A 14201-nucleotide genomic window follows, 5' to 3' on the forward strand; every position below is an offset into this window, starting at 1 on the left:
AAGTCCCCACACAACTGTGGGTCTTGGCTGCAATGGGACACCAGGAAGAGTCCAAAGAATAAGACCCTGGTTCTGGTTCCCAGTCTGCCCCCATGTAACCTCAGGCAAGCCAGATCCCTCTCTCAGCCTTAGTTTCTTCATCTCTAAAGTGGGACAATACATCACTCCCTCTTTGGTAGGATCTATAGTTAGAGGCTTTTAGAGACTTCAACTCAGGATTTTCACAGCAGAATATCAGTCCTAGGAGGGTCATCTCCCAGGCCACAGGATTCCTCCCCATCTCCACCCGCCAATATGCAACATTCATCACCTTGGTTGAAAGAGCTGTTCAAGACTAGTAAACAGGGTCATTCCAGACCTGTGCCTCTTTCCTCCCAGGAACCCTGATTCTCTCAGATCTAGATGAGATATACTGTGACGACTTATCATGACTGATCATTCGTGAAACCCACACAGGAGCAGAATGAATGGCCTGGGTGGCTTTGTGCTGCTGTGGCCACCCCTTGCCTCATCCTTTTGCCTGCAATCAATCACGTTTTCCTCCTTCCCCTTCGAGAGTTCCAGGCTGACTCTAGAAGGAACGGCTCACCACTGCCCAACCACAGAGATGTGGATAGGGGAAGGGTTTTATCCAAGTCATGTGAAGGCATGGGCCTTCAGGCACAGATGTTGCCCAGCAGTTTGTGATGTAAGTAAGTTACTTAAACTGAATCTCAATTTCCACATCCGCAAAATGCAGATAGAAATACCTATAGGTACTGAGAAATAAATGAAGTAACGGGGGGAAAACACTTAGCACAGTGCGTGGCACACAGTAAAGGCTCAATAAATGGTGGCTTTTATTATAATAAGCCCAAACATTTACAATGGAGGCAATGTGGCATTAGAATCAATGCAGGATTTGTGGTCGATGCCCAAGTTCAAATCCTGACCATGCAAATTCCGAGCTCAGTAACTTGGGCAAGTTATGGAATTTCTCTGCCTCAGTTTCTTCATCCTGAAATGACCCTCTTGTAAGGTTTTTGTGAAGATTCAATGAAATAAGGCAGGTAAAACACTTAGCATGGCCAGGTACAGATTAAATGTTTAACAAACGGTGACTTCTGTTGCCACAATCATCATTATTACAGCAGTAGTCTCCAAAAAGGGGTAATGGGTATGACAATCCACTGGGGTGCAGGACAAGAGTATCACCACTTTCCAAATGTTTTAATCTTGCCCTTTTATGTCCCATTTTTATTTGTTATACATGTATAAAGTTAAAGAAAATATTAGGGGTGCAGGCTGATAGAGGTGCACAGTCAAAATCTGGATTCAATGGAATGGAGGCAGGGGCATGCCAGGAAGAATAGTAACACCAGGGTAAGAAAAAGCATTTCTGTCATCGAAAGGTAGCTTGGGCTGTGGAGGAACAGAGTACACTTTTGAGGGAAAGGAGATGTTGAGCGTAAGGGGGTGAAACCAGGTGTGGTGGGAGGGTGATTTGAGAAAAAAGAAATAATATGGAAAATCATGCAAAAAAACCCACCCAGACCTCTGCCTCAGGGGAGTGCCTGAGGGGCTACAGCCTGAGCCACAGCACTCCTCTGCTCACAAGTCTCCAATGGTGCCCCTTAATACTGGGCCTCTAAGCTCAGCAGTCGAGGCCATTGGTTCTCCTTACTGACTTCTTTGCCATCACCACTTTCCTCTTTGCCCTGTCTTCCCTGCTAAACCAGGAACGCCTTCCACCAACATTTTTAATCCAGCTTTCCAGAATCTATACCAGTGCTTTTCAATTCTAGCTTCACTAACAGAACCTGGGGAATTTTTCAAAACTACCAAAGATTTAAGGTCAGCCCTTAGAGATTCTGACTCAACTGCTGGGGTGAGGCCTGGCCTTTGGTAATTTCTAAAAACTTTCCTAGGTGATTTTAATGGCAGCCAAGGAGGCTGAGAACCACTGTTATCTGCTGGATTCAAATGCCGCCTTTTCTAACAAGCCAGAAGGTATTCCCCCGCTAGGGTGCTCTGAAACCACCTTGATTTGACTGGCTTTGGTCAACCACTGTGGATTTATCATTTCTCCATTAGATAAGGGCTGCCAGCCTCCAAGGTATTATGGGAAAGAATCTGTACTTCAAAGGAAAACCCTCCAGGTTGTCTGACTCGAGACTTTCATTGTCTTTGAGTGATTTTACAGGTCAGTAAGTTGCAAATAATTGATGGTAACACAAAGTAATTCTAATACATACTCCTTGCCCTATTTTGTAAAGGTCCAATTGATTTCCCACCCCCTCAGGTAAAAAAAGAGTTTTGTCTCTAATTGCACATTTCTTTCAATACAAATGTGTCTTTTGAGCTGGTTATAACATCGGCCTGGTGTGGTCATTGATTAATAAGTAGAACAGCACATGATCATTTTTGTATCTGCATGAGTCATAATTTTACACTTTTTAGAAAATTACTGCATATGCCTCTTTCCTGCACCCCCTCCCATAGGGCGTGGCTCCTATGGATGGTTGGGGGTAAAATGCACTAAGTGGCTTTCATGCTTTCTTTAGTGACCTCAGCAAATGGAACCATCTACTATTGGTTTTCAAACTGTGCTTTACTCCTCTTTCTATAGCCAGGAGATAAACTAGAGAGGTTAAGTCACTTACCCAACATCAGAAGAAAATCAGTCATCAAGCAGGGGCGTGTTTTTCCATAAACATTTATTTGAGCACCTCCTACAAACCAGGCCCACTGGTAGAAGTTGGGGGTTGAACAGAAAATGAGACAGACAAGGCTCCTGGCCCCACAAAGCTGGTGATAAGGTGATGTCATATGGCAGTTTGCAGTATATATATATATATATATATATATATATATATATATTGATCCCATACACAACCCATAACCAAAGAAAAATTGAGTATTTACCATGATAAACAGAAATATACCTTTAAAATATGACATTAAAAGTACATTTAATAAGGAGTCCAATAGTTTCTTCCTGTACCCCCAAAAGATCATCTTCAGTGCGTCCTGGGGTATATCCATCCCACTTAGAAGGCCCCTGGCCTATAAAATCTAGATCCTTCCCTCTTTGCCCTTTCTTGCTGGCTTCTCCCCCGGTCTGCAGGAAGACACCCAGGACCCGCTCCATAACCCTCCAGGAGCCTTGATTCTGATGAAGCTGGGGTAAATGCCTTCCCTGGCTCTGTGCGTGGGCACACCCCCCAGCTTGACGACTGGGGTTTCTTAGGGAGCAGTGTCTTTTCCTCTCCTGACCCAGAACCATTGATCCTAGGACTGGACAAGGCCTCAGGAGATCATCTCTCTGCCTCAGGATTGGAACTAGTCTAGCCTAGGTTTGAACCCCAGCTTGGGTCACTTTTGTGAGAGGCAGCAAAGTAGTGTCTCACAGTATAGATGCTGGAGCCAGACTGCCTGAGATTGAAGCCTGAGGGTGATATTTAGTAGCTGTGTGGTGTTGTGCAAGTATTGAGCCTCTCTGTGCCTGTTTCATATTAAAAAAAAAAAAAAGGGATAAAAATAGCACCTCCCTCATAGGAGTTATGATGAGGATAAAAAAAATTAAGACAAGTCTAGAGCTTAGAAGAGGACCTGGCACACAGGAAGCACTATATTTTATAAGCATTTGTCATTATTATTTCTTCCTTAAACTGTTAAGGGCTGGAGTTTCCATGTCTGCAAAATAGGCATTAATAACAGCGTCTAACATAGCAAGGCTTCAGCCGGGGCCTGGCAAATTTAAGGGTTCGAGAGGTAATAGTGGTTACCATTTTATTGCTATTATTTAAGGACCACCAGGACATGGATTTTTCAGAAGAGGAACTTGAGGCTCAGGTCGCCTGCCTTCTCAAGCACCACACCCTTTTGAGATAACACAGCACTTTTATATCTGCCATCTTACAGCCTCATGAAGGTATCGATCTCATTCTCATTTTGCAGATAGGCAGGACATCCAAGGAACCTATAGACAGTCACTCCCCCATAGCCAGTCTCTGTGGGGGCTTCTCAACTCCAGGAGGAAAGGGAGTGAGGCTGGATTCCAAGGCAAGTTTATAGGCATAAAGACACCCCTCCGACTTCCTCCCCTCTATTGGCAGGAGAAGGGGTGCATGCATGCTCAGGAATCACGGTAGAGACCACATCCTGTGCTTTGTCGCCACCCAGGAAGTATATCGGAGAGGCTGGGTGGGGTGAGGCTGGTGATTCCACTGGGCCTCCCCAGAAAATCCTAGAATGGTAGAGCAAAAGCCATTCAGACCCAACCCATTTTATTAATACCAGTGGGGTGTCCTGGGTATATGTCCTATCCCTGTAGAGAGGAAGGGGCTAAGCCCCAGAGGGGTAGTAGGTGTGCCCAGGGCGCCTAGCTGATTAGTGGCAGGGCAGGGGCTGGGTCCGAGGCTGGATCCTGGTGGCCCAGGGCTCCCTCTGGATGCTGCAGTGCGGATGTGCCAGTCACTGGCAGCTATCCAGCACTGCAGTCTCCCCCACTTCATCCCAGGAGTCAGTCTCAAGAGGCCAGGCCTTGGGCTTCCCTGGCCCCTCCTCTGCACACTCACATCTACATTTTGCCCCAGCAACAGCTGTGGCCCTTATCCAGAAACTGCAAGTATTTTCTGTATCTCAGCAGATGCTGCCTTAGGAACAAAGGGTAGATAAGGCAAAGAAAGATGGATGAGTGATTGTCACAGCTGCAGAGGGGGATGAAAGCCTCTGCCTCCTGCCCTCCCCAGTCCCATCCAACTCCCAGAATCCTAAATCTTAGAACAGTTGAATCCTAGAATGTCTGCACTGGCAGTGGCAGCCAGTTCAGCAGACTTTGCTCCAGATGGGGCACAAAGCCTTAGAGAAAGGGCTTGCTCAAGAAGTCCCAGCACATCCGGACTGTAACCGGGCTTTCCTCTGACCCCAGGCCAGTGCCCTCGGCGTGGCTCAGGGCCTGCCTGCTAGGAGGTCAGGGTCCACAGGGGCTGAAACTGGGGCGGTCATTCACTTCACCATGAAGGGCTACGCAGGTCAGGATATGCCATCTGGGTCAGTGGAAGCAATCCCAAGCATGTTTTGGGCAAGGGGGAAGGAATAATGGAGGGAAAAGGGCGGACTCTTGGGGGGAAACCAGAGTCCTTTCACAAACCCGGGAGCCATATGTCCAAATTTGGAATTGTCAGAGAAGACCCACTAGAATCTAGGGAAAGGAAGGAGGAGGCAGGAAGCCGTGGCCAGATTAGTTGTCCCAAAGGACCTCCTGCCCTTTCCCCTTGTAGGGCCTACAAGGGTTGTGCCAGGCTTCCCAAATCTATAATCAAGACTCCCAAACCTGCAATCATTCCATACAGCTGACAAATAAATCAGTTTTCAAAGCCATTGTTTCCTTTGAAAGAGACTGGGTTTCTCAACTATGGACTTGGAGAAGGAAATCCAGGCTCAGAGAGGGAAAGCCACCGCCCAAAGTCACACTGCAACAGGGGCTGGGATTCCGATTCAGGGTATTTTGCTCCCATGCTGGTATATGGGGAATTATTTGAAGCCCCCAAACTTTGGGAAGGCCTAGACCGCTTAGGGGATGCAGAAAGAAGGGTAGTGCCCCTGCCTCACCATAGGAGGCCTCGGAGCCCCGTTGGGAGACTGCATTCATAGACAAGCAGTGGCCCAAAGGGGATGGGGTCCAATGAGGCCCTGAGGTATGTACGACCGGACGTTCAGCTCTCTGCACGCAGGCAGCCCTCCCCCGACACCACACACAAGCCATTTTATAAGCAGCTGGAGGGTCCAACGCTCTTGCTCTCAGTCTTGGGCCTCAGCCACACCCTTCTCTGCGGGTCCTTTGACTGGCGTCCAGCTGACCCCAACCCCGGACCTTCAAAGTCTCTTGAGCCCCCCCAAATTAAGGCCGGCAGGACCAGCCCCTGGCTCAGCTCCGGCGCCCAGGACCCTCAACCAGACCCTCTGCAGCAACGGGACTCCCTCCCCTCCCCCTAGCCAGGGCGCCCTCCGCCCGCGCCTCTCCGCCCCGACCCCAGATTTGCTCCGCTGCGCTCCCCAGACACACCCAGTCTGCGACACTCTCGGGTTACCGCGCCCTCCCGTCCCTGCTCCTGGCGGGGGGTACCCATCAGCCGATGACTGGGCGCTTATTTCTTGTGTCCCTGCAGCCCCCGGGAAGGGGTTCCCAGAGCGACTCCCCTCTCCAGCCTCAGCCCACTCACCGCGCAGCGGAGGCCTCGGGTCGCAGACGGACGCACGGGCGCAGGGACTCGAGGACGCAGCGCTCGCTGGATCGGAGCCCGTTAGCCCAGCAGCAACCGCAGCGCGGGGCGGACCGGGAGGACAGCCGTGGGCTCCGAGCCGGACACGTGGCGCGCAGAGGCCAATCCGGCGCGCCCGCCTCCCTCCTCCACCCCACCCCTCTAGCTCCTTAGCTCTTGGAATCTTAGAATGTCACTAGCCCGAGGGGCTTGCCGGGAGAACCTCCTCAGTTTCCAGCCCCCGGATCTGAGACTGAGAAGGATTAGGGGCTTTGGCCAAGGTCACGCGGCCCTTCAGGGCTAGAAGTCAGGGCTCCTGACTCCGGGTTCTGGACACTTTCCCGCAAATTCTTATAAGTCGCCAAAGCTTTGTTGAGAAACAGAAAATTGAGGTTTGCCAGGGGCACTTTATCTGCCTGATCAGATTCCATGCCTCAACAGCCTCATTAGGTCGGTGACATTATTTACCCACTTTCAGGAGGAGAGCCCAGTCCAGTTCCTGGACCAAGGTCACACAAATAGTGGGTTGCGGAGGCAAGCTTCTTCGTGCTCTGGGAAGCAGGGAAGGCAGGCAGGGAGACCAGCAGTTGTAATCCAGCGCTAGAACAGGAAAAATTGATAAACTGAGAATACAGAGGAAACTGAGAATTATTGTCCCCAGGGGATTGGTAAGGAGAAGATGAGGAAGTTAGAAGAATTGGACAGATACCTGCGGAAAGTGTTCCAGGCAGAGGAAACTGCTGGAGCAAATGCTCCTAGCAGGAGGCCACCTGGCGCCTCCGAGGATCAGCAGGGGGGCCAGTGTGGCTGGAATGGAGTGAGTGGGAGGGAGAGGAGAGATAAGAGGGACCCAATCAGGTGGGACCTCCGGGGCCCTTGAAGGCACGCTGTCTTTTACTCTGAGTCAACTGGGGATCCATTGCAGGATATTGAGCAAAGAAAGGGTATTATTTTTGGGTAGATGAAATCCACACAACATAAAATTAACCATTTTAAAGTCAACAATTCAGTGGCATTTTGTACAGACACAATGTTGTGTATCCACCACCTCTATCTAGTTCCAAAATATTCTCTTCACGGAAAAATAAAACAGTATACCCACTGAGCAGTCACTCCTAACTTTCCCTTACCCCTCGTCTCTGGCAACCACCAATTTGCTTTCTGCTTCTGCGGATGTGCCTATTCTGGATATTTCATATACATGGAATCACATGAGATGCAACCCTTCTTGTCTGACTTCTTTCATGTGGCATTTTGTTTGTTTGTTTTTGTTGTTGTTTTTTCACTCTTGTCGCCCAGGCTGGAGTGCAGTGGCGTGATCTCTGCTCACCACAACTTCTGCCTCCTGGGTTCAAGCAATTCTCCTGCCTCAGCCTCCCGAGTAGTTGGGATTACAGGCATGCGCCACCACACCCAGCTAATTCTGTATTTTTAGTAGAGACGGGGTTTTTCCATGTTGGTCAGGTTGGTCTTGAACTCCCGACCTCAGGTGATCCACCTGCCTCGGCCTCCCAAAGTGCTGGGATTACAGGCGTGAGCCACCGTGCCTGGCCTCATGTGGCATGTTTTTGAAGTTCATCCACACTGTAGCATGTATCAGCACTCCATTCCTTTTTTTTTTTAGTTTCAGTTGGAGTTTTGCTCTTGTTGCCAAGGCTGGAGTGCAATGGCGTGATCTCGGCTCACTGCAACCTCCACCTCTCAGATTCAAGGAATTCTCCTGCCTCAGCCTTCCGAGCAGCTGGGATTACAGGCATGCACCACCACGTGTGGCTAATTTATTTTTGTATTTAGTAGAGATGGGGTTTTACCATGTTAGTTAGGCTGGTCTCGAACTCCTGACCTCAGGTGATCCACCCGCCTTTGCCTCCCAAAGTGCTGGGATTACAGGCATGCGCCACCGTGTCCGGTCCAGCACTCCATTCCTTTTAATGGCTGAATAATTTTCCGTTGTATAAGTACACTATAATTTGTTTATCCATCCATCTGTTGATGGATAGTGCATTGTTTCCCCCTTTTGCTGATTGTGAATAGTGCTGCTAATGAACATTTGCATACAAATACTTATTTGAGTACCTGTTTTCAATTGTCGTTGTGTATTTACCTAGGAATGAAACTGCTGGGTCATATAGTAATTCTACATTTAAGTTTTTGAGGAACTGCCAAACATTTTTTCAGAGTGGCTGCAACATTTTATATTCCCATCAGCCATGTCATGTATGAGGCTTTTAATTTCTCCATGTCCTTGCCAACACTTGTATTTTATTTTTTAAAAATTTGTACCCGGCCAGGCACAGTGGCTCATGCCTGTAATGCCAGTACTTTGGGAGGGCCGAGGTGGGTGAATTGCTTGAGCCCACGAGTTTGAGACCAGCCTGGACAACATGACGAAACCGCATCTCTACAAAAAATTAACCAGGGGTAGTGGCACATGCCTGCAATCCCAGCTACTGGAGAGGCTGAGGTGGGATGATCCCTTGAAGCTGGAAGGTAGAGGCTGCAGTGAGCCGTGATTGCACCACTGCACTCCAGCCTGGGCGACAGAGTGAGAACTTGTCTCAAAAAAACAAAAGTACAAAAAACTTGTGCTCTAGTCATTATGAAATGGCATCTATAATTGTGTTTTTGATTTGCATTTCCCTTCTGACTAATGATGTGGAGTATCTTTTTTGTGTGCTCATTGGCCACTATTTGTACATCTTCTTTGGAAAAATATCTAATCATGCTTTTTGCTCATTTTTAAATTGGATTTTTTGTCTTTTTTGTTGTTAAGTTATATGAGTTCTTTTTATATTCTGGATAAGACTTTTGTGTTTGTTTGAGACAGAGGCTCGTTCTGTTGCCCAGGCTGGAGTGCAGTGGTGCCATGTCGGCTCACTGCAACCTTCACCTCGTGGGTTCAAGCAATTCTTTCCGCCTCAGCCTCCCAAATAGCTGGGATTACAGGCACCTGCTACCATGCCCAGTTAATTTTTGTATTTTTTTAGTAGAGACGGGGATTCATCATGTTGGCCAGGTTGGTCTTGAACTCCTGACCTCAGGTGATCCACCTGCCTTGGCCTCCCAAAGTGCTGGGATTACAGGTGTGAGCCACCGCACCTGGCCAAGACATATTTTTTAAAGGGTCACTGAAGTCTCCTGTGTTGGAAATACTGAATACTGTTGGGGGAAGAGTAGAAGAAGGGGATCTGCTAGGAGATTTTGCAGTAATCCAGGCAAGAGACAGGCTGGTATAAATGCAGGTGGGGGAAGTGGTTGGAGATGGGATGTATTTGAAGGTTGAACATGATTTCCGAAGGATCAGGTGGGAGATGAGAAAGAGTCAAGAATGGCTTCAGGGATCCTGGCCTGAGCCACTGGAAGGATGGAGTTACCATCAACTGAAATGAGCAAGACTGCAGGGAAAGCAATTTTGGGAATTAGAAGTGGGGAAAAGATCAGGAGTTCAGTTTTTGACCAGTTTGTTGAACATTTCTATTAGACACCCAACAGGAGATGTCAAGTACGCAGTTGGCTAGTCAAGTCTGGAGTTCAAGAGATGAGATCCTTAAGGGAGAAGAGAACTAAATATGGAGTCCTAGTTCGGCAAAAGGAGTCAGGCTGGCAGGACCAAGGGAAAGCAAAAAGAGAAAGCAGATAAGCTATAAGTCTGCCTTTCTTCATGGCCCAGGATGCATAGCCCTCCTGTGCGAATAACTCACAATCTTATCTGCGCCCAGCTATTGCCAGACCCTCACCTGATAGAAAAATGCACGCAAGCTCCCTGCACCCTTGATGTTATCAGTACTGCACAAAGCCCTCTTCAGCACACAGCACAAGCACCATCCTATAAAATCCTTAGCCAGATTTTGTTTTCTTGCAGTTAGCTTCTGTTTTGCTAACTTGCCCGTTGCACCCTTGCAACGTATTTTCTTTTCTTTTCTGTTTTTCTTTTGAGATGAAGTCTCACTCTGTCGCCCAGACTGTAGTGCAGTGGCACTATCTCGACTCACCACAACCTCCGCCTCCCGGGTTCAAGCGATTCTTCTGCCTTAGGCTCCTGAGTAGCTGGGATTACAGGTGCGTGCCACCACACCTGGCTAATATTTGTATTTTTAGTAGAGATGGGTTTTCACCATGTTGATCAGGCTGGTCTCAAACTCCTGACCTCGTGATCCACCTCGGCTTCCCAAAGTGCTGGGATTATAGGCATGAGCCACCACGTCTGGCAGCAATGTATTTTCATACTTTCTCTAATAAATCTGCCTTTCTTTACCTACAACTGCCTTGGTAAATTCTTCTTACTGCCTGTACCGCCAGCCCCAAATAGTTGCTGATCACCCACGATGCTAAGGACCGAGTCTGAGACACTCTTATGTTACCATTTGGGGAGAGGCCGGACCCGGTGGCTCATGCCTGTAATTCCAGCACTTTGGGAGGCTGAGGTGGGTGGATCACTTGAGGCCAGGAGTTCAAGACCAGCCTGACCAACATAGTTAAACCCCATCTCTACTAAAAATACAAAAAGTTAGCTGGACGTGGTGGTGCATGCTGTAATCCCAGCTACTTGGGAGGCTGAGGCAGGAGAATCACTCCCAGGAGGTGGAGATTGCAGTGAGATGGCACCATTGCACTCCAGCCTGAGAGACAGAGTGAGACTCTCAAAAAATAAAATAAAAGAGTTGGGGAGAAGAAAAGAATTCAGCAAAGGTGACTGGGAAGGAGATTGTAGTAAGATGGGAGGAAACTACCCCAGGAGAATGTGGCAGCAAAGTGAAAAATAAGGGAGTGATCAGGTGTGTCAAATGCTGCTTTTAGGTAAAGTAGGACAAGGTCTACAAATCTATCATTGGGTTTAGCAATGTGAAAGCCAACTTATCTCTTGCTGTGAATTGCAGAATGTTGGGGGTAAAGGCCTGATGGGAACGGTGTAAGATAAAAAGCCTAAACTACTTATTCTGGGAGTTTTGCTGCGAAGGCCAGCAAGGGAATGAGGCAGTGTCTGGCAAGGGAATTGGTGTCAAGAGAAGGGCTTTTGTTTGATTTTTTTAAAGATTGAAGACATAACAGCATATTTGTATGCTGGTGGGAGTTATCATATAGAAGGTAAAAAAATTGATGGAGGAGAGAGAAGGGAGAATTCCTGCAGCAATGTTTGGAGACAGAATGGGCTGTAGTGTACAAATGTCAGGGCTATTTGTATTCTTAATTTGCAATAAAAGTAACTGAAATTTTTGATCTTTGCCCAAATTCAGCCCACGTGACTGAGGCAGGATTGAAAGCCAGATTCCCTTGACTGCAGAGCCCAGGGCCTTAATTCCTGAGCTACAGCAGCAAGTAGGAGTAAACACTAATATACTGCTCATTCTCTTTGAGCTAATCATCACTTACAGGAATCAATCCTAAGAAAATAATCTAAAATACAGAGGAAGCTGTAGGCCCAACACTGTTTTATTGTTGTTGTTGGAGACAGGGTCTCACTCTGTCACTCAGGCTGGACTGCAGTGGTGTGATCATGGCTCAACTGCAGCCTTGACCTCCCCAGGATCAGGTGATCCCCTCACCTCAGCCTCCCAAGTAGCTGAGACTACAGGTGTATGCCACCTGCCCAGCTAATTTTTGTATTTTTTGTAGAGATGGCGTGTCACCATCTTGCCTAGGCTGGTCTCCTATGCTCAAGCCATCCTCCTGCCTCAGCCTCCCAAAATGCTGGGATTACACCAGCATTGGTATAATGTGAGCCACCATGCCCAACTTTTTTTTTTTCATTCTTTTTTTTTTTTTGAGACAGGGTCTCATTCTGTCCCCCAGGCTGGAGCAGTAGCACAATCTCAGCTCACTTCGGCCTCAACCTCCTGGGCTCAAGCTATCCTGATGCTTCAGCCTACGGAGTAGCTGGGACTACAGGTGTGCACCACCACGTCCAGCTAATTTTTTTCATTTTTTGGTAGAGACGAGGTTTCACTGTCCAACACTGTATTTTTAAAATTGTTTTTTATTTCAATGGTTTTTGGGGAATAAGTAGTTTTTCATTACATGGATAAGTTCTTTAGTGGTAATTTCTGAGATTTTAGTGCACCTGTCACCCAAGCAGTGTACACTGTACCTAATGTGTAGTCTTTTATCTCTCCCCACTCACCCCAGAGTCCCCAAAGTCCATTACATATCATTATTATGTATTCATGTCCTCATAGCTTAGCTCCCACTTGTAAGTGAGAACATATGATATTTGGTTTTCCATTCCTGAGTTGCTTCACTTAGAATAATGGTCTCCAACTCCAATGCAGGTTGTTGTGAATGCCATTATTTCATTCCTTTTTATGGCTGAGTAGTATTCCACGGTGTATATATACCACATTTTCTTTTTTTTTTCTTTGAGATGGAGTCTTGCTGTGTTGCCCAGGCTGGAGTGCGGTGGCACAATCTTGGCTCACTGCAACCTCCGCCTCCCGGGTTCAAGTGATTCTCTTGCCTCAGCCTCTGAGTAGCTGGGAACAGGCACCTGCCACCACTCCCAGCTAATTTTTGTATTTTTTAATTAGAGGCAGGGTTTCACCTGTTGGCCAGGCTGGTCTCGAACTCCTGACCTCAGGTGATCCGCCTGCCTTGGCCTCCCAAAGTGCTGGGATTACAGGCGTGAGCCACCATTCCTGGCCCACATTTTCTTTATTTACTCGTTGATCGATGGACATTTAGACTGGTTCCATATTTTTGCAATTGCGAATTGTGCTGCTAGAAACGTGTGTGCAAGTGTCTTTTACATATAATGACTTGTTTTCCTCTAAGTAGATACCCATAGTGGGATTGCTGGATCAAGTGGTAGTTCTATTTTTAGTTCTTTAAGGAATCTCCATACTGTTTTCCATAGTGGTTGTACTAGTTTACCTTCCCCCACCAGCAGCAACACTGTATTTTTCAAGTGCAAAAGGGAAACAACCTACACATCCAGGAGCTGTGGAATTGCAAGCAAGCCGGGGTCACGCAGCCTTGCTTCCAGGTGGAAACAAACCCTGGAAGGAAGCATACATGGGTTGGAAACACGTGAAGATGACATCATCTTTTTGGCACTTCCCAGGCCCCTTCCTCTGTGGAGTGGCCTGTCTACAGGTGTCTGTAAAAGAGACGGCATGATGCTGTGATATGGGCTGGAACAATGGACTGAGATTCCAGATTTTCTCATGTCCCTTGTCAGGGCTGTAGTTTCTCTGATTATAGGAGAAGAAAGTTCAAGATCTCCCAGTTGCCCTCTGAGGAAGCTGGAAATGGTCAAATATTGCCACCTGCTGGCAAGTTCCAGCTCTGCCTGGCTTCCATCAGAAGAGGGTGTATGTTCCCAGAGACAGGTCTTACTTCAAGCTCACTAGAGGAAGGGGCCCCAAGGGATACTGTTCAAATGACTACCTGGAACACCCCCTTCCTCCACAAAAAGTCCCCTTAAGACCTCTCTCAGTGTCTGGAATTCCTCTATAACGGTTGAGGATTGTTTGTTTTTATACGAGAGAAAATAAGGAGATTCTAACGACTTGGCATGAAACAGATTATTTTCTACTATGAGGTCTCAGCAATGGGAGGCCGAGTTGTAGGATGGCAGGGGCCCCTGTGAGAAGCATAGGCCCGAAAACAGCTGAATTAGAAAAAGCAGGGTAGTACAGTGCTTTCCAGTACAGCCTTTACATTTAAAAGAAAATGAACGAAAAAGTCCCTGGGCTTCTGGGGTCCACCGTATTCTAGCTCAGTGACTGTGAACCATTTATTTATTTTTTTGTCTGAGTTTCTGTTAGCTTAGTTATAATAATGAGTATTATAAAAGTATCCACCTTGCAAGATTGTTATGGAATGCACTGATATGACAACAGATCATTTAGTAGCAACTAGCACATAATAATGAGAATAAATATAAGCATTACTACTACTATTAATTTAATGGATGAAGTCCTGGCCTGTTCATCATAAGAGGTGAGAGCTAGTTCTAGCTGG

The 14201-nt window shown here is 47.3% G+C and overlaps 1 protein-coding gene across 2 annotated transcripts in view, besides 3 other annotated features; it reads right to left on the bottom strand.

Moving 5' to 3' along the window:
- The window catches only part of ANXA6 (annexin A6), a 57074-nt gene extending 50768 nt beyond the window's left edge, over positions 1-6306 (bottom strand). For both annotated transcript variants that reach the window (NM_001363114.2, NM_001155.5), the window contains exon 1: positions 6207-6306. The gene's annotated coding sequence lies outside the window, so the exon portion shown is untranslated. The remainder of the gene's footprint in view (positions 1-6206) is intronic.
- Positions 6467-7323: an enhancer, noted in NCBI's record as "H3K27ac hESC enhancer chr5:150537501-150538357 (GRCh37/hg19 assembly coordinates)". NCBI's record gives its function as "activates a minimal SCP1, AML or CMV promoter by ChIP-STARR-seq in naive and primed H9 embryonic stem cells {active_cell/tissue: H9 hESC(naive and primed)}" and the evidence as "EXISTENCE:reporter gene assay evidence [ECO:0000049][PMID:30033119]".
- Positions 7119-7178: a silencer, noted in NCBI's record as "silent region_16520". NCBI's record gives its function as "represses an Ori minimal core promoter by ATAC-STARR-seq in GM12878 lymphoblastoid cells {active_cell/tissue: GM12878}" and the evidence as "EXISTENCE:reporter gene assay evidence [ECO:0000049][PMID:35858748]".
- Positions 13197-13306: an enhancer, noted in NCBI's record as "active region_23444". NCBI's record gives its function as "activates an Ori minimal core promoter by ATAC-STARR-seq in GM12878 lymphoblastoid cells {active_cell/tissue: GM12878}" and the evidence as "EXISTENCE:reporter gene assay evidence [ECO:0000049][PMID:35858748]".

The sequence above is a fragment of the Homo sapiens genome, chromosome 5 (assembly GCF_000001405.40).
Source record: "Homo sapiens chromosome 5, GRCh38.p14 Primary Assembly".
In the NCBI taxonomy this organism is placed as follows: Eukaryota; Metazoa; Chordata; class Mammalia; order Primates; family Hominidae; genus Homo; species Homo sapiens.